Below are 18,994 nucleotides of genomic sequence, written 5' to 3'. Positions count from 1 at the left end.
AACATGAGATTTGGTAGGGAAAAACATCCAAACCAAAGTATTTCATGGCTTTTTTGTTATTATAAATTGTATTTTCAATATTTTAACTTTCAATTGTTTGTTTCTATTATATGAAAATATAATTAATTTTTGTATACAGTTGAGACCAACACGGGTTTGATCTGCACAGATCCACATATCTACGAATTTTCTTCAAGTCTGCCACCCCTGAGACAGTTAAGACCCTTCTCTTCCTCCTCCTCCTCAGCCTACTCAGTATGAAGGCAATGAGGATGAAGACCTTTATGATGCTCCACTTCCACTTAATGAACAGTGTGGTGTTTGAACCAGGATTCATTTCCCTCCTCTCCCCTTCCAGTTCAGCCAAGTGGAGACCACTACAGGGTGGTGCAGCCAAGAGCACAGGGCTTCCTCTCTCCCCAGCTTCCAGTTGGAGAGCCAGCTTCCTGGTAAGGGCAGGATGTCAGCAATTCTCATCCAGCTCCCAGCTACCTGTTGCTGACACCAAATTCTGGGCAAATGTGCAGGGATCCTTTCTTCTGCCTAGCTCCTGCTGTGGGACAGAAGCTGTACCTTGGGTGTGGCTGTGCTGAGAACACTGAGCCATTCATTGCTCTAGCAGTGGCTCTGAAGGTGGTGGTTCCACACCGAGGCAAACCAACACCTGTGGCTTCTACACCGCATCCGCTGAGCTCTCAGCTCCTAGGCAGAAAGACCATTTGGAGGGAATGATGTCATTGTCTCTCCTACACTCCAGACTTGGCCTAGAGATTTTGCCTGGCAGGAGAAGCGGGTTTTTAAAGCAAGTAGCTCCTAAAAGAAATGAAAAAAAAAAAAAAAAAGCAAGTAGCTCCTAATCTCTTCCCAGAAGAACTGACTTAATTTGCAACAGAGTGTGGGAGAATTTGAGCCTAAGGGTTCTCTCAAAAATAGTGGAGGTTGTGATGAGGCAATTGGGAGGAGTCATTGGATATACAGACTAAAATGTAGGTTAGCTAATGTGCCCAAGAGAACCAGGAAGGTAGACATTTGTGAGAAACCTGCCTTGGGACTGAACAAATCTCAAATCTTAAAAATTGACTTTGACAACCATCTCCTTAAAGGAGCCTGAATTTGATTGGATTATTCTGTGAAGCAATTTGTGACCAAGGGCATTATTGAAAGGAATAGAGCAATCAGTAGTGAATGGAATTTAATAACTAGGTGCGTTCAGGGAAGAGACACTGTCAAAGAGATCCCTGCCAAAATCTGTCATCCCAGATTGTGGGATGGTCCTGAGCGGCCAACATCAGAGGCTTAGAACTGTTGGGAGTAGGAAGCCAGGTGCAGTGGCTCATGCCTATAATCCCAGCACTTTGGGAGGCTCAGGCGGGCAGATCACCTGAGGTCAGAAGTTCAAGTCCAGCCTGGCCAACATGGCGAACCCCGTCTCTACTAAAAATACAAAAATTAGCTGGGCATGGTTGTGTGTGCCTGTAATCCCAGCAACTTGGGAGGCCCAGGCAGGAGAATTGCTTGAACCAGGAGGCAGAGGTTGCAGGGAGGCAAGATGGCAGCACTGCACCCCAGCCTGGGCAACAGAGTGAGACTGTCTCAAAAAAAAAAAAAAAGAACTGTTGGGAGTAGGGAATAGGTTGCACTAAAGCATTCCACCTACTCACTAAACAAACAAGCAAATAGCAGGACCAGCCCTTTAATAGCAGATCAGTACCCAGAGTTACTAGATTACTTATTTATTATTTATTTATTTTGACAAGGTCTCACTCTGTGGACCAGGCTGGAGTGCAAAGGCATGATCATGGCTCACTGTATCCTTGATCTCCTGGGCTCAAGCAATCCTCCCGCCTCAGCCTCCCAATAAGCTGAGACTACAGGCATGCACCACCATGCCTGGCTAATTTTTATATTTTTTGTAGAGATGGGGTTTCACCATGTTGCCCAAACTGGTCTTGAACTCCAGAGCTCAAGCAATTTACTTGCCTCAGCCTCCCAAAGTTCTGGGATTACAAGTGTGTGCCACTGTACCTGGCCTAATATATTATTTTAAATATGCTAGTTTCCCATAAACAAATTATAAGACTTATGAAAAAACAGGGAACCATGATCCATACACTGGAAAAAAGCAGGAAACATACACTGCCTGCAATTGCAAACAGTGTTTGCAATTTTAAATGTTCCATTTAAAAGGCTTCATAGTACCCATTATAATACTTTCAAAGAACTAAAGGAAAACATGGTTTATGAAGGAAGGTATGATAACAATGCCTTATGAAATAGAGATTATTATCAATGAAGACATAAAAATTCTTTTTTTTTTTTTTGAGACAGTCTTGCTCTGTTGCCCAGGCTGAAGTGTAGTGGCTTGATCTCCGATCACTGCAACCTCTGCCTCCTGGGTTCAAGTGATTCTCCTGCTTCAGCTTCCTGAGTAGCTGGTATTATAGGCGTCTGCCACCATGCCCGGCTAAGTTTAGTATTTTTGGTGGAGACGGGATTTCGCCATGTTGGCCAGGCTGGTCTCGAACTCCTGACCTCAGGTGATACGCCTGCCTCAGCCTCCCAAAGTGCTGGGATTACAGGCGTGAGCCACCGCACCAGGTCGAAGACACAGAAATTCTAAAAAAGAACTACATAGAAATTCTGATGTTGGCTGGGCTCCGTGGGTCACACCTATAATCCCAGCACTTGGGAGGCTGAGGTGGGCGGATGTCTTGAGCCCAGGAGTTTGAGACCAGCCTGGACAACATGGTAAAACATAAATACAAAAACTAGCTGGGCATGGTGGTGTATGTCCCTTGTCCCAGCTACTTGGGAGGCTGAGGTGGGAGGATCGCTTGAGTCCAGAAGGTCAAGGATGCAGTGAGCTGTGATTGCACCACTGTATTCCAGCTTGGATGACAGAGTTAGACCCTGTTTCAAAAACAAACAAAAAACAGAAAAAAGGAATTCTAATGTTGAAAAATACAGTAACCGAAATGAAAAAGTCACTAGTAGGACTCAATTTTTGATCTGAATTATCAGAAGAACAAATTAGCGGACATGAAAATAGATTGACAGGTTTTACGCAATCCGGGGAACAGACAGAAAAGTGAATGCAGAAAAATGAACAGAGCCTCAGAGACTCATTGGACACCATTGAGCATACAAAAAAATACATAATGGGAGTACTCAAAAGAAGGAAAAGTACTCAAAGGAGGGAAAAAAATCATGTGTCTACGTTTGACTGATTTTTTTTTTTTTTTTTTTGAGACGGAGTCTCACTCTGTCGCCCAGGCTGGAGTGCAGTGGCCCAATCTCGGCTCACTGCAAGCTCCACCTCCTGGGTTCATGCCATTCTCCTGCCTCAGCCTCCCAAGTAGCTGGGACTACAGGTGCCCGCCATCACGCCCAGCTAATTTTTGTATTTTTAGTACAGACAGATTTTCACTGTGTTAGCCAGGATGGTCTCTATCTCCTGACCTCGTGATCCGCCTGCCTTGGCCTCCCAAAGTGCTGGGATTACAGGTGTGAGCCATCTTGCCCGGCCTGTTTGGCTGATTTTTAATAAGGGTGGCAAGACCATTTAATGTGGTTGTAAATGTCTTCTATAAAAGAACCATTTTTTAAACAAATGGTGCTGGATATTCACATGCAAAAGAATGAAGTTGGAGTCTTACCTCACTCCATATACAGAGATTAACTAAAAATTGGGCATAGACATAGATGTAAGAGCAAAATCCACAAAATTCTTAGAAAAAGACAAGTAAATCTTTATGATCATAGATTTGGCAATAAATTATTTTTTTTCTTTGAGACGGGTTTTCACTCAGTCACCGAGTCTGGAGTGCAGGGGTGTGGTCAAGGCTCACTGCAGCCTTGACCTCCCAGGCTCACATATTTATTTTTATTTTTACTTGTAAAAAAAAATTGTATTTTTAGTTCCGGCCTCCCAAGGAGCTGAGACTACAGGTGCATGCTACCATGCCCAACTAATATTTCTATTTTTTTGTAGAGAAGGGATCTCACTATGTTGCCCAGGTTGCTCTCAAATTCCTGGGCTCAAGTGATCCTCTTGTGTTGGCCTCCCAAAGTGGTGGGATTACAGGCATGAGCCACTGCACCTGGACGGCCATTAATTCTTATATATGACATCAAAAGCATCAGTGATCAAAGGTAAAGTAGACAAAGTAAACATCAAAATTAACTTTTCTGGCCAGGCACTGTGGCTCATGCCTGTAATCCCAGCAGCTACTTGGGAGGCTGAGACAGGAGAATCGCTTGAACCCAGGAGGCGGAGGTTGCAGTGAGCCAAGATTGCGCCATTACATTCCAGCCTGGGTGCCGAGGACGAAAATCCATCTTAAAAATGACAAAAAAATTTACCTTTTCTACTTCAGAGGACCCCATCAAGAAAGTAAAAAAACAACCTATAGATGAGAGAAAATATTTAGCAATCAGAGATCTGAAAAAGAACTTGTATCTTGAACATGTAGAGAACAATTACAACTTAAAAAGAAAAATCCATTGTAAAAATGGGCAAAAGATTTGAATAAAACTTTCTTTTTTCCTTCCCTTCCCTGCCCCTCCCTCCCTCCTTTCTTTTTTTTTTTTTTTTTGAGATGGAGTCTCACTCTTACCCAGGCTGGAATGCAGTGGTACAATCTTGACTCACTGCAACCTCTGCTGCCCACGTTCAAGTGATTCTCCTGCCTCAGATGTCCGAGTAGCTGGGACTACAGGTGTGCACCACCACGCCCGGCTAATTTTTGTATTTTTAGTACAGACCAGGTTTCGCCATGTTGGCCAGGCTGGTCTCGAACTCTGGACCTCAGGTGATCTGCCTGCCTCAGCCTCCCAAAGTGGTGGGATTACAGGCATGAGCCATTGTGCCTGCCGCTTTCTTTTTTTTTTTTTTTTATTTTTTGAGTAGGGTCTTGCTGTGTTGCCCAGGCTGGAGAGCAGTGGTGCAATCTCAGCTCATTGGAGCCTCCGTCTCCTGGGCTCAAGTAATGCTCCTACCTCAGCTTCTTGAATAGTTGGAACTACAGGTATGTGTTACACTCCTGGCTAATTTTTGTTTTTTTTGTAGAGGTGAGGTTTTGCCATGTTGCCCTTACTGCTCTCAAACTTCTGAACAGAAGCCATTTGCCCACGTTACCCTGCCAAATTGCTAGGATTATAGGCGTGAGCCACTGCACCCGGCCTAAACCAATTCTTTTTTTTTTTTTGAGACAGAGTCTCACCCTATTGCCCAGGCTGGATTGCAATGGCACGATCTTGGCTCACCACAATCTCCGCCTCTTGGTTCAAGCAATTCTTCTGCCTCACCCTCCCAAGTAATTGGGATTAGGCATGCGCCACCATGCTCGACTAATTTTGTATTTTTAGTAGAGATGGGGTTTCTCCATGTTGGTCAGGCTGGTCTTGAACTCCCGACTTCAGGTGATCCGCCCGCCTTGGCCTCCAAAAGGGCTGGGATTACAGGCGTGAGCCACTGTGCCCGGCCCAAAATGAACCTTTTATTGTAGTAACTGCAAACTGAAATTCTGCAGAAGTTTGAAACAGTATCAGTGGATTGGGTTTAAGTAACTGGTAGTGACAGGGACTCAGGTGAGCAGGAAAGAAGTGGGCAGGTATACTGTGCCTAAAGGGTGAAGCTGTGGTTCACTTCCATTTCGCTGTTGCATAAGCGTTGCTAGATTGTCCTAGTTTTCAAGAAAAAAAAACTCAAAACAAAATCACACACCTGAAGGCTGGTTATGGACAGAGACCAGTTTCTGTCCCTTGCTTTAATGCTTAAAATGCATGTGCATCCCGTTTATCCCCAGCTGAATGCACTTGTTCTTTACCTGCCTGTTTTCCCTGGAATCTCAGATAACAATGAGGGTGGTGGTAACTATTTCCTCAGTGGAATTGGTGGTTGGTGGGCACAGCCTTATGGTTATTATTATTCATATTGTTGCCATCTCTGCTACATCTGAGAAACTTTTTTTTTTTTTTTTGAAATGGAGTCTCCCTCTGTCACCCAGGCCGGAGCGCAATGGCGTGGTCTCAGCTCATTATAACCTCCGCCTCCTGGGTTCAAGGGATTCTCCTGCTTCAGCCTCCCGAGCAGCTGGGATTACAGGTGCCAGCCATCGCGCCCAGCTAATTTTTGTATTTTTAGTAGAGATGGGGTTTCACCATCTTGGCTAGGCTGGTCTTGAACTCCTGACCTCAGGTGATCCACCCACCTCGGCCTCCCAAAGTGCTGGAATTACTGACAGGTGTGAGCCACCACGCCTGGCCCTGGCCCTTTTTTTTTTTTTTTGAGACCCTCATTGTTAATATTCACTGTATGCTTGAAAAATGATTGAAATTCTCAGTTTAATAGTTTAAGCTTTTTCTTTCTTTCTTTCTTTTTTTTTTTTTTGAGACAGAGTCTTGCTCTGCCACCCAGGTTGGTGTGCACTGGTGCGATCTCAGCTCACTGCAACCTCCACCTCCTGGGTTCAAGTGATTCTCCTGCCTCAGCCTCCCGAGTATCTGGGATTACAGGCATGTGCCACCACGCCTGGCTCATTTTTTGTATTTTTAGTAGAGACGGGATTTCATCATGTTGGCCAGGCTGGTCTTGAACTCCTGATCTCAGGTGATCCACCGACCATGGCCACCCAAAGTGCTAGGATTATAAGCATGAGCCACCGTGCCTGGCCACAACAGTACAATTTCTTTCTTTCTTTTCTTTTTTTTTTTTTGACATGGAGTTTCACTCTTTATGCCCAGGCTGGAACGCAGTGGCACGATCTCAGCTCACTGCAACCTCTGCCTCCCGGGTTCAAGCGATTCTCCTGCCTCAGCCTCTCGAGTAGCTGGGATTACAGGCATGCGCCACCATGCCCAGCTAATTTTGTATTTTTAGTAGAGACAGGGTTTCTCCATGTTGGTCAGGCTGGTCTTGAACTCCCAACCTCAGGTGATCTGCCCACCTCGGCCTCCCAAAGTGCTAGGATTACAGGTGTGAGCCACTGCGCCTGGCCAATAGTACAATTTCTAAGACGAGGAAGTCAGCATTGATACAATACTACGAACTACATTAAAAAACTTATACAAGTGTCGTAAGTTTTTCCACTGATGTCCAGTTTCTGTTCCAGGTTCCCTCCTAGGACTCCACATTGCATTTACTTGTTATTTCTCCTTGGTGTGTAGGTCTGTAAGGGTCCTTGGGTCTTTCCTTGTCTTTCATGACCTTGATGGTTTTGAAGAGTATTGATCAATTATTTTGTGGTAAGTCCCTGAATTTGAAATAGTGTGGTGTTTTTTCATGAATGGAATGTGGTTATGAATTTTGGTAAGAATACCACAGAAATTATGTTGGGTCTTTCTCAATGCAAAATATCAAGGGGTTCAGGACGTAAACATGTCTTATTGTTTACCTTAATTGGTTGGTTAAGGTGGTTTCTGCTGAGTTTCACCACTATAAAGTTACTGTCTTTCCCTTTGTGCTAAAATGTATCTTGGGTGAGACACTTTGAATCTGTGCAAATTCTGTTTCATAGCAAATTTTTAACCACTAATTTAGCATTCCTTAGTGGATCTTGTCTGCAGCAGTGATTGCTGAAGTGTTTGTCTAATGGTGAGTTTTGTTATCCCTCATTCCTTCCACATTTACTAAAATCCTACTCTAAGAAAGCATTCTTTTCTTCTTTCTTCTCTTCTCATTTATTTATATTAGTATTTATATCAGATATTTACTTATATCGGCATGAATATTAAAATTAATATATATGGGTCATCTGTGGTTCATGATCCAATGCTATTATGATTTACTTTGTTGCCTTGGCCATTAGGAGTTCTTTCAGGTTGCCTTCTGTGGTTTCTGTTTTTTTTTTTTTGAAACAGAGTTTGCAGTTGTCACCCATGCTGGAAACTTTGCCATTTCTGCCTCAATCCTGCTACATAATTCCCATTCCTTCCCTTCTTCCATTCTCCTCATGTAAGAAATCAATCACATTAGTTCCTGGTTAAAACTTTTTAAAAAAATTTTGTTTGAGATGGAGTCTCGCTCTGTCGCCCAGGCTGGAGTTCAGTGGCGTGATCTCGGCTCACTGCAAGCTCTGCCTCCCAGGTTCACGCCATTCTCCTGCCTCAGCCTCCTGAGTAGCTGGGACTACAGGCGCCTGCCACCACGCCTGGCTAATTTTTTTGTATTTTTTTAGTAGAGACGGGGTTTCACCGCGATAGACAGGATGGTCTCGATCTCCTGACCTCGTGATCTGCCAGCCTCGGCCTCCCAAAGTGCTGGGATTACAGGCGTGTGTGACAAAATTGTGTAGCATTTGCATATCACCTACACATCCTCCCATATACTTTAAATCATCTCTAGATTACTTATAATACCCAATACAATGCAAATGTTATGCAAATAATTATAGTGTATTTTGAAATGAGTTATTATTTATTTTTTGAACATTTGGTAGAAATGGGGTCTTCTTTTGTTGCCCAAGCCAATCTGTAACTCCTGGCTTCAAGTGACACTTTGGCTCAGCCTCTCAAAGTGCTGGGGATTACAGGTGTATGCCACTGAGCCCAGCCTATTTTTTGAGTATTTTTGATTTGCTGTTGGTTGAATCCACGGATATTGAACCCGCAGATATAAGGGCCAATTATATATCATACTTTTGCCTTTAAGCATTTTTTTTTTTTAAAGACAGTCTTACTCTGTTGCCCAGGCTGGAGTGCAATGGCTAGATCTCCGCTCACGGCAACCTCCGCCTCCGGGGTTCAAGCGATTCCCCTGCCTCAGCCTCCTGAGTAGCTGGGGGGATTACAGGCGCGCGCCATCATGCCCAGCTAATTTTTGTATTTTTAGTAGAGACAGGGTTTCAAGGTTGGTCAGGCTGGTCTCAAACTCCTGACCTCGTGATCTGCCTGCCTAGGCCTCCCAAAGTACTGGGATTACAGGCGTGAGCCACCGTGCCTGGCCATGCATTCAAGCAAATTTAACTCTTGGTTTTTTTTCTTGAGGCAGAGTCTCGCTCTGTCCCAGGTTGGAGTACAGTGGCTCAGTCTCGGCTCACTGCAACCCCTGCCTCCCAGGTTCAAGAGATTCTCCTGCCTCAGACTCCCGAGTAGCTGGGATTACAGGTGCCCGCCACCACGCCCGGCTAATCTTTTTTTTTTTTTTTTTTTTTTTTTTTCAGTAGAGACGAGGTTTCACCATGTTGGCCAGGCTGGTCTCAAAATCCCGACCTCAAGTGATCCACCCGCCTCAGCCTCCCAAAGTGCCGGGATTACACGCGTGAGCTACCGCGCTTGGCTTGCAAATGTAACTTTTTTTTTTTCTTTTTGAGATGGATTTTTTTTTTTTTCTTTTTGATACGGAATTTCGCTCTTGCTGCCCAGGCTGGAGTGCAATGGTGCGATCTCGGTTCACTGTAACCTCCGCCTCCCAGGTTCAAGCGATTCTCCTGCCTCAGGCTCCCAAGTAGCTGGACTACAGGCACCCGCCACCACGCCCGGCTAATTTTTGTATTTTTAGTAGAGATGGGGTTTCACCATATTGGTCAGGCTGGTCTCGAGCTCCTGACCTCAGGTGATTCGACCACCTGACCTCCCAAAGTGCTGGGATTACAGGCGTGTGGCACTGCACCCTGACACAAATTTAACTTTTTAAAGGTCAGTTAACTCAGCACAAGAAGGCTACTTGATGACCTTAATAAAGTACTTTTTAGTTAAATGCTAAGGGCCAGGTTAAAATGGATTAAAGAATGAGACCCAAAGGAACTGAATTAACAGCATATTTAACTTTCAGTAAGTTCTAATTCTTATCTACACCTAGGCCTTACCCTAGGCAATTCTCACCACACATCCTGGTAGTTGGGTCGATTACATTTATTATGTTGTCTTTTTTGTAGAGACGGGGTCTCGCTATGTTGACCAGTCTAATGGACTGCTCTGAGACGTTTGGCCTGAGGTGATCCTTCCAGGCAGGAGGATCACTTCAGGCCAGGAGACTGGGAACCAGCCCAGTAGACTGGGCAACATAGCGAGACCCCAAGTTTAGTAAATGTGGGTGGCAGTGGACTCAAATTGTAGAATTGGCACAGGTAAAAGCAATTATTCGCTTTTCAGAGGCACACTGTGTGGATGTGAGAACAGGCTGGCATTTCCGATAACAGGTCTGCGTGTTCCCAAGTCCTTGTATCCCACAACCTTCACGTAGACATCTTATCTAACTATGCTGTCCTACCCAACCTATAGCGTTCTTGCTCCCAGAGTCTAAATGGGAGCCCCAAACTAATTACTGTATAGTAGTCGAACTACACACCAGGCACTTCCCCGACAATCTACAACCCCATCCAAAGGGGTCAGAAACTAGTAACAAAATACCAGCTGCGAGCCTCTCCTTCCCCTAAAGAGATCTTATCAACTTGGCTGCACCTTCCCACCTCTAGCCTGCGGGAACAAATATCCCAGGATCCCGGGCGGTTTCGATTGACGTTACTTCCGGGAAAAGTAACCTTGCATCGGCGGTTGCGGGCCTGGAAAGCTCTCGCGACATTTTCTCCTGCGAGATCTGCTTGCTCACTGTAGCGATGACATCCTCCTCCTCCTCCCCGCCGCCTTTCGGCAATCTTCGCCAGTCCCAGTCCCGACTAATCTGTACTCAGATGGCATGGATCAGGGTCTCCCCTCGAACCCCGGTTCGCACGGGGCGTCAGGTGGCAGCGGCGGGGTGCGAGCTGCGCGAGGCCGACGGCAGCGGCACTACGGGTGGCCACGGGCAGGCGACGAGCAGTGAGTGTGGGCGGGGTGGGGGTAAGCCACCCGTGTAGCGGCTCGATTGTTCTGGCCTGGCTATGGCGCCTCTCCTCCCCCCCGCCATGGCTCCCCGTGTCCCTGCTCCGCTCCTCTCAGTGAGTGAAAGTGGCCGCCGCCGCCGCCGGCCCAGCGCCCGCAGCCGCCTCAGCGCCGCCGCCATCTTGGGGTCCCAGGAGCCGCGGAGGGAGCGAGCTAGGAGCGTCCACGCCCAACGCAGTCACCGTCCCACGGCCTCAGAGAGCGAACCGCGGCTCCACCGTCGGCGGGGCGACCCCCCCCTCCGGACCCCGCCCGCACCCCGCCCCCCCTCCGCCGCCGTCGCGGCGGCGGGGCCAGGCGGCCCGAGGTGAGGCAACTAGACGTGGGCGGGCGAACGGAGTGGGGGTTGTGTAGGTCTTGTTGCGCCCCTCTCTGCGGGCGACAACTGGGCCGCGTCTTAAAGGGGCCGTCGCCCCCGGCCCTTGGATTTGTTGGGGTTAGTATGGAGGATGGGTGTGGACACTCCCCGCAGGGTTGGGACCTCAGGGACTAGGGCCTTGTCCTTCCCGTTTCATATCTCTGGAGACCCGGGGTCATGCGGTGACCTCAGCCACCTGAGGAAGCCCGTGGGGCGCCCACACGTGGGGAGTGTGTTAGACCAGGTGCACGTGGGACCCGGTGGGGCGGTGTCGGGCTAACACGTGTGTAGGTTTGGGGGTGGGCAGGGGCAGGGCGGAGGCTGGAAGGCCTTGAGTGGGAACCCCGTGAAGGTTGTGTATCTGTCATTTTAAACAAATGAGATCTAAGGGCTTGTTAGTGTGTCATTTTGTAAGGGGCAAGTTGAGATACGGTTGAATGGTGCACGCTGCTGGCTGGTGTTGGGTGGGGGCAGGCTGACACCTGCATAGACTTGGGAGTGTCTAGATGACACCTCTTCTGGTTTTTTAGGTTTTTACATAGCGACTAGGAAAGTGTCATCCTATTTTGACATTCCTTCTTGAGCTCGCTAATGGAAAGTACTACTTCCGTAATCTCCGAGGCTAGAAGCCCCCTACAGTTTAGGAATGACAGAACCTAGGCAGCCACTTACTATTCTAGTTAACAGCCAACTGTGCCTGGAATTCTTTGATTCACACACTGTCTCTAGTTTGATGTACTTGTTAGAAATGGGGGAAGGAATTTGGAGGTTGACCTGGCTAACGTCACAGGTTACTTTTCCAGTCAGTGACTTTCATTATTTCCTCCACAACAAAATTATTGTGGCTTTTCAGTGGCAACTTAAATTAAATAATAGCTTTATTGAAATATGATTCAAATACCAAAAAATTCCGCTTTCTAAAGCGTATAATTAAGTAATTTTCTGAAACTATATTTATTAAATTCTGTAGCCATCAACCACTATTTAATTCATCACCCTAAAAGAGAATCTCTAGAAGCCATTTAGCAGTCACTCCCCATTCCCCCTCCCTCCAGTCTTAGGTAACTATTAATATATTTTTTGCCTAAATTTACCTAAAAAAGAAACATATGTATCTTTCTTTGCCTAGTTTGTTTCACTTAACATGGTGTTTTCAAGGTTCATCCGTGTTGTAGCAGGTATCAGTACTTAATTCCTTTTTTTTTTTTTTTTTGAGACTGAGTCTCGCTCTGTCGTCCAGGCTGGAGTGCAGTGGCGGGGTCCCGACTCACTGCGACCTCCGCCTCCCAGGTTCAAGCACTTCTCGTGCCTCAGCCTCCCCAGTAGCTGGGATTACAGGCGGCTGCCACCACACCCGGCTAATTTTTGTATTTTTAGTAGAAACGGGGTTTCACCATGTTGGCTAGGCCGGTCTCGAACTCCTGACCTCAAGTGATCCGCCTGCCTTGGCCTCCCAGAGTGCTGGGATTATAGGCATGAGCCACCGCACATGGCCTCATTTGCTTTTAATGCCAAATAATATTCTGTTCTAGTTGCATTTTATGTTTGAAATTTCCAAGCTCCTCCTCCTATAAAACAATTTGAGATCATTATGTGTGGTAAAAGTTGCATACCTTCTAGACTTTAAAATGAATGTTTTTTTTTTTTTGTTTTTTGAGACGGAGTCTGGCTCTGTCGCCCAGGCTGGAGTATAGTGGCGTGATCTCGGCTCACTGCAGCTTCCGCCTCCCGGGTTCAAGCAATTCTCCTGCCTCAGCCTCCTGAGTAGCTGGTATTACAGGCGCCCGCCACCACACCCAGCTAATTTTTGTATTTTTAGTAGAGACGGGGTTTCACCATGTTGGTCAGGCTGGTCTCGAGCCCCTGACCTCGTGATCCACCTACCTTGGCCTCCCAAAGTGCTGAGATTACAGGCGTGAGCCACCGTGCCCGGCTGAATTTTGTTTTTAAGGGATTGAATTCCATCATTTTAGCTTACTGTGTTCTTTTCCTCTACGTTTTATTTCAGTAGAAACCAAATCAATTTTTGAAAGTCTGTAAATTGTGATAGGAAATAATTGTAGTGAGCACAAATGTGATTAGAAAAGTTTATGACTAATAAAAACATTTTGAGTACATCAAGGTGGAAATGTGATTAAGCCAAAGCAACAAATCGAGAGCTATTCTGCTGGGCATGGTGTCTCAAGCCTGTAGTCCCAGTTACTCAGGAGGCAAGAGGATCACTTGAGTCCCTAGTGAGCTATGATTGTGCCAGCGCACTCAAGCCTGGGTGGAGAGCGAGACCCTGTCTCTAAAAACAAAACAAAACTAATTATAAGCTGTGGTGTTAGAGGTTCACTTAATGAAAGTTTGTTGGCCGGGTGCGGTGGCTCACGCCTGTAATCCCTGCACTTTGGGAGACTGAGGCAGGTGGATCACCTGAGGTCAGGAGTTCGAAACCAGCCTGGCCAACATGGTTAAACTCTGACTCTACCAAAAATACAAAAAATTAGCTGGGCGTGGTGGCGCGCACCTGTAATCCCAGCTACTCAGGAGGCTGAGGCAGGAGAATCGCTTGAACCCGGGAGGCGGAGGTTGCAGTGAGCCGAGATTGAGCCACTGCACTCCAGTGGAGTGCAACAAGAGCAAAACTCTGTCTCAAAAAAACAAAACAAAACAAAACTGGCTAGGGGATTTTATATGCCAACATACAAATTCACATTAAATAGGTTAGGCTTGGTGGCTCACACCTGTAATCCCGGCACTTTGGGAGGCTGAGCAGGCGGATCGTTTGAGCTCAGGAGTTTGAAATCAGCATGGGCAACATGGCAAAACCCTGTCTCTACAGAAAATACAAAAATTAGCTAAGCATGGTGATGTGCACCTGTAGTCCCAGCTACTTGGGATGCTGAGGTGAGAGGATGGCTTGAGCCCAGGAGGCAGAGATTGCAGTGAGCCGAGATCGAGCCACTGCACTCCAGCCTGGGCGACAGAGCCCGAGCTGGCTCAACAACAACAACAACAAAATACACATGAAATATAAACGCTAGGATGCAGTGGATTTTAGAGTGGACAAAGTGGGTTGGGGTTAATAGGAGACTAAGTTTTTGTAGGAAAACAGTTGAAAAGTTTTTTTTTTTTTTTTTTTTTTTTTTTGAGATGGAGTCTTGCCCTGTCGCCAGGCTGGAATGCAGTGGCACGATCTAGGCTCACTGCACCCTCTGCCTCCCGGGTTCAAGAAATTCTCCTGCTTCATTCTCCCAAGTAGCTGGGACTACAGGCGCATGCCACCACGCCTGGCTAATTTTTGTATTTTTAGTAGAGATGGGGTTTCACCATGTTTGGCCAGGATGGTCTCGATCTCTTGACCTTGTGATCTGCCTGCCTTGGCATCCCAAAGTGCTGGGATTACAGGCGTGAGCCACTGTGTCCAGCTAACAGTTGAAAAGTTTTAAAGTTGGATCTAACGTATCAAAATCTTGATATGATAGGCTATAGCATATAGAGAATGAGAAGGGCATAGGCACTAATATCAGACAACTCTTGTGAGTCAGTGAGTATGGTAGATACTTTATATATTATCATTTTAATTTTCTTGAAACTTCTTGGTAGTAATTCTCATTTTACAGATGAGAAAATTGAAACCAAGTTAAATCATATAGCCAGTAAATGACAGAACCACTATTCTATTTTTGTTATAGTCCTTCTGCCTTCCCCAAAAATATTTTGAAGAGTATTTTTGGCCAGGCGTAGTGGTTTCCACCTGTAATCCCAGCACTTTGGGAGGCAGAGGAGGGAGGATCACGTGAGCTTGAGGAGCTTGAGACCAGCCTGGTCAATATAGGGAGACCTCATCTCTACAGAAAATAAAATTTTTGGACTAGGGTGGCGTGTGCCTATAGTTCAGCTACTTGGAAAGCTGAGATGGGAGGTTTGGTTGAGCCTGGAAGGTTGAGGCTACAGTGAACCCTGATTGTGCCACTGCACTCCAGCCTGGGCAACAGAGCTATTCCCTCCAGAGCAAGGTTCTTAACATTTTTTAATGTATCTTGGACGGCTTTGTAGTCTGAAGACACCTATTCTGTTGGGTAAGAGGTTTTTTTTTTCCTCCTCCCCGCAAAAACGTTTTTTTTTTTCTTGAGACAGAGTTTTGCTCTTGTAGCCCAGGCTGGAGTACAGTGGCGTGATCTCAGCTCACTGCAACCTCCGCCTCCCGAGTTCAAGTGATTCTCCTGCCTCAGCCTCCCGAGTAGCTAGGATTACAGGCGTGCACCACCACGCCCGGCTAATTTTTGTATTTTTGGTAGAGACAGGATTTCACCATGTTAGCTAGGCTGGTTTCAAACTCCTGACCTCATGATCCGCCCACCTTAGCCTCCCAAAGTGCTGGGATTACAGGTGTGAGCCACTGTGTGGCCTGTTTTTGAAACTTCTTAGTGAATAAGATGGTTAAGGCTTAAGAACAGACCAGACCATTAAAAAAAAAATTCTTTTTTTTGAGACGGAGTCTCGCTCTCTCGCCAGGCTGGAGTGCAGTGGCGCCATCTTGGCTCACTGCAACCTCTGCCTCCTGGGTTCAAGCAATTCTCCTGCCTCAGCCTCCTGAGTAACCGGGACTACAGGCATGTGCCACCACACCCAGCTAATTTTTGTATCTTTAGTAGAGATGGGGTTTCACCATGTTGACCAGGCTGATCTGGAACTCCTGACCTCAGGTGATTTGCCTGCCTCTACCTCCCAAAGTGCTAGGATTATAGGCGTGAACCACCACGGCTGGCCTATTTTATTTTTTAAGCGTTAACTATTCTTTATTTGATATTACACATAAACCACACCCTAAAGTGCTTTTCAGTAAGTAAAAGGAACCATTTTAGTTACAAGGAATTCTAATTAGCTTGGCATAGTTAAGGCCAAAAATGTAGACATTGCTGCCTTATCTTCAGCCCTTGCCTTTAAGAGGCAAATAAACACAAAACACAGGTGAATTATGCTTGGTTCTGAGACAATGAAGGAATTTTGCCAGTATTTAAATATGCTCACATAACCAGTTATATAAATCTAAATATAAAATCAATCTCCAGTAGATTTTAAGATGGCATTCACCATCTTGATGAAAAGTTGAACATTACTAATGAAGTTCAATCATGTTTTTAGAAGGGGAAAACAGTGATATCATTTACTTAATTGGAATTACTGTTAAAATAAAAAACCAAGACCTTCATGGTAGCTCACACCTGTAATCTCAGCACTTTGGGAGACCAAGGCAGGCAAATCACTTGAGTCTAGGAGTTTGAGACCAGCCTGGGCAATATGCCAAAACCCCATCTCTACAAAAAATTAGCCGGGTGTGGTGGTGCATGCCTGTAGTCCCAGCTACTCTGGAGGCCGAAATGGGAGGATCACCTGAGCTCAGCAGGTCAAGGCTATAGTGCGCTGTGATCCTGCCACTGCACTCCAGCCTGGGTGACAAGCGAGACCCTGTCTAAAAAATAAAAGAGGCCGGGTGCTGTGGCTTCTTAAATCTGTAATCCCAGCACTTTGGGAGGCTGAGGCGGGTGGATCATGACGTCAAGAGATCGAGACCATCCTGACCAACATGGTGAAACCCCGTCTCTACTAAAAACACAAAAATTGGGTGAGTGTGCTGGCACGTGCCTGTAGTCCCAGCTACTTGGGAGGCTGAGGCAGTAGAATAGCTTGAACCCTGGAGGTAGAGGTTGCAGTGAGCCGAGATCATGCCACTGCACTCCAGCCTGGCGACAGAGGGGAACTCCATCTCAAAATAAAAATAAAATCCAGAAAGCCAAATATATTCATTTAACCACAGCCAGTTTTCTTTTTTTTTTTTTGAGACGGAGTTTCGCTTGTTGCCCAGGTTGGTGTGCAGTAGCACGATCTCAGCTCACTGCAACCTCTGCCTCCCGGGCTCAAGCAATTCTCCTGCCTCAGCCTCCCCAGCAGCTGGGATTACAGCCACCCATCACCACGCCTGGACAGTTTTTTTTTTTTTTGAGGTGGAGTCTCGCTCTGTCGTCCAGGCTGGAGTGCAGTGGTACTATCTCGGTTCACTGCAACCTCCATCTCCCAGGTTCAAGTGATTCTCCTGCCTCAGCCTCCTGAGTAGCTAGGACTACAGGTGTGTGCCACCATGCCTGGCTAATTTTCATATTTTTAGTAGAGATGGGGTTTCACCATGTTGACCAGGCTGGTCTCAAACTCCTGACCTCAGGTGATCCATCTGCCTCGGCCTCCCAAAGTGCTGGGATTACAGGTGTGAGCCACCGCACCTGGCATAATTTTTGTATTTTTAGTAAGATAGGGTTTCACCATGTTAGCCAGGCTGATCTCGAACTCCTGACCTCAGGTGATCCACCCGCCTCAGCCTCCCAACCTCCCAAAGTGCCGGGGTTACAGCCATGAGCCACTGTGCCTGGCCAGACATTTCTATTTTGTAATAAATACGGCAGTGGCCAATTACTCATTAGTACTTTTTTTGAAGTGCCTTACTCTGTCGCCCAGGCTGTAGTGCAGTGGGGCAATCTCAGCTCAGTGCAACCTCCGCCTCCCGGGTTCAGGCAGTTCTGCCTCAGCCTCCCCAGTAGCTGGAATTACAGGTGCCCGCCACCATGCCTGGCTAATTTTTGTATTTTTAGTAGAGATGGGGTTTCACCATGTTGGCCAGGCTGGTCTCGAGCTCTTGACCTCAAGTGATCCGCCTGCCTCAGCCTCCCAAAGTGCTGGGATTACAGGCATGAGCCACTGTGCCTAGCCATTAGTAGCTTTTTTGAGGTAAGCTATCAAATCTGCCCTTTCTACCTTATTAATGCTGGCAAAGATAATTTTTGTTCCAGGAATAGACTTCTTGGGATTCTCCAAATACTGTATCAGTGTATCCTCTCCCCAGGCAATGCTTTTTTTCTTATTGGCGTCTGTGTAAGTGAATCCAACAGCCTGACCTGTCTTCTTTCCAAAGAGACCGTGGAGATTTGGCCCAGTCTTTTGCTGGCCTCCCTCTTCCATGATGTGGCACTGGGCGTGCTTCTGAGCACACATATTCTTGTTTTTCAACATCACCCTTATTTAATTATCTGTTTTGTACAAAGGTTCCGGTTCTGAGGATGGACGTCCTGCTCTATCAGTGTCTACTTTATAGTGTTGTTAGATATAAATGAGGCAATCCATGTGACGTACTTAGTACCATTCCTGATACATAATGTTTAATAAATGCTATATATGATTAGTCGAATTGAACCCCCATTTTACAGTGGAACTAGTGAGACCCAGAGTGAGTAGCTGCCTGTCCTAGTCTATTTGTGGCTTTTCTTTTTTTCCTTTTTTTTTTTTTTTTTTTGAGACGGAGTCTCGCTGTGTCCCCCAGGCTGGAATGCAGTGGCGAGATCTCGGCTCACTGCAAGCTCCGCCTCCCGAGTTCATGCCATTCTCCTGCCTCAGCCTCCCAAGTAGCTGGGACTACAAGCGCCCACCACCACGCCCGGCTAATTTTTTGTATTTTTTAGTAGAGACAGGGTTTCTACTGGTGTTAGCCAGAATGGTCTAGATCTCCTGACCTTGTGATCCGCCTGCCTCGGCCTCCCAAAGTGCTGGGATTACAGGTGTGAGCCACCACGCCCGGCCTATCTGTGGCTTTTCAATGGATTCAGCTCACAGCTCTTGACTTCATCTTCTTTCTTACCATGCTGTTTCCACTGAAAGTTGTATCATTTAATTCAGTTAAAGTTACTGCTTGATAAAAGTATTCTGTTTGATACTGTAATGGTGGACACATGACATGTCAAAACCCATAGAACTTTACAGCACGAAGAGTAAAGTTTGTTT

At 46.3% G+C, this 18,994-nt stretch overlaps 1 protein-coding gene and 1 pseudogene across 5 annotated transcripts in view, besides 9 other annotated features; one reads left to right on the top strand and one right to left on the bottom strand.

The window, feature by feature from the left end:
• Positions 8,838-9,617: an enhancer, noted in NCBI's record as "H3K27ac hESC enhancer chr15:41409682-41410461 (GRCh37/hg19 assembly coordinates)". NCBI's record gives its function as "activates a minimal SCP1, AML or CMV promoter by ChIP-STARR-seq in primed H9 embryonic stem cells {active_cell/tissue: H9 hESC(primed)}" and the evidence as "EXISTENCE:reporter gene assay evidence [ECO:0000049][PMID:30033119]".
• Positions 10,334-10,433: an enhancer, noted in NCBI's record as "active region_9276". NCBI's record gives its function as "activates an Ori minimal core promoter by ATAC-STARR-seq in GM12878 lymphoblastoid cells {active_cell/tissue: GM12878}" and the evidence as "EXISTENCE:reporter gene assay evidence [ECO:0000049][PMID:35858748]".
• Positions 10,334-11,178: a biological region, named in NCBI's record as "H3K27ac hESC enhancer GRCh37_chr15:41408121-41408900".
• Positions 10,399-11,178: an enhancer, noted in NCBI's record as "H3K27ac hESC enhancer chr15:41408121-41408900 (GRCh37/hg19 assembly coordinates)". NCBI's record gives its function as "activates a minimal SCP1, AML or CMV promoter by ChIP-STARR-seq in primed H9 embryonic stem cells {active_cell/tissue: H9 hESC(primed)}" and the evidence as "EXISTENCE:reporter gene assay evidence [ECO:0000049][PMID:30033119]".
• The window catches only part of INO80 (INO80 complex ATPase subunit), a 137,401-nt gene continuing 129,227 nt past the window's right edge, over positions 10,821-18,994 (top strand). For 4 of the 5 annotated variants that reach the window (NR_104038.2, XR_001751322.3, NM_017553.3 and 1 more), the window contains exon 1: positions 10,821-11,128. The gene's annotated coding sequence lies outside the window, so the exon portion shown is untranslated. Of the gene's footprint in view, positions 11,258-18,994 lie in introns of all 5 variants that reach the window. The other variant, XM_047432698.1, reaches the window with a different exon arrangement.
• Positions 10,874-11,143: a silencer, noted in NCBI's record as "silent region_6355". NCBI's record gives its function as "represses an Ori minimal core promoter by ATAC-STARR-seq in GM12878 lymphoblastoid cells {active_cell/tissue: GM12878}" and the evidence as "EXISTENCE:reporter gene assay evidence [ECO:0000049][PMID:35858748]".
• Positions 11,179-11,959: an enhancer, noted in NCBI's record as "H3K27ac hESC enhancer chr15:41407340-41408120 (GRCh37/hg19 assembly coordinates)". NCBI's record gives its function as "activates a minimal SCP1, AML or CMV promoter by ChIP-STARR-seq in naive H9 embryonic stem cells {active_cell/tissue: H9 hESC(naive)}" and the evidence as "EXISTENCE:reporter gene assay evidence [ECO:0000049][PMID:30033119]".
• Positions 11,244-11,323: an enhancer, noted in NCBI's record as "active region_9275". NCBI's record gives its function as "activates an Ori minimal core promoter by ATAC-STARR-seq in GM12878 lymphoblastoid cells {active_cell/tissue: GM12878}" and the evidence as "EXISTENCE:reporter gene assay evidence [ECO:0000049][PMID:35858748]".
• Positions 11,374-11,423: an enhancer, noted in NCBI's record as "active region_9274". NCBI's record gives its function as "activates an Ori minimal core promoter by ATAC-STARR-seq in GM12878 lymphoblastoid cells {active_cell/tissue: GM12878}" and the evidence as "EXISTENCE:reporter gene assay evidence [ECO:0000049][PMID:35858748]".
• Positions 11,504-11,553: an enhancer, noted in NCBI's record as "active region_9273". NCBI's record gives its function as "activates an Ori minimal core promoter by ATAC-STARR-seq in GM12878 lymphoblastoid cells {active_cell/tissue: GM12878}" and the evidence as "EXISTENCE:reporter gene assay evidence [ECO:0000049][PMID:35858748]".
• On the bottom strand, positions 17,924-18,236 carry CYCSP2 (CYCS pseudogene 2; annotated as a pseudogene).

The sequence above is a fragment of the Homo sapiens genome, chromosome 15 (assembly GCF_000001405.40).
Source record: "Homo sapiens chromosome 15, GRCh38.p14 Primary Assembly".
In the NCBI taxonomy this organism is placed as follows: Eukaryota; Metazoa; Chordata; class Mammalia; order Primates; family Hominidae; genus Homo; species Homo sapiens.
Note: the sequence above shows the minus strand (reverse complement) of the source record. Positions and strands in the feature narration are given on the sequence as shown.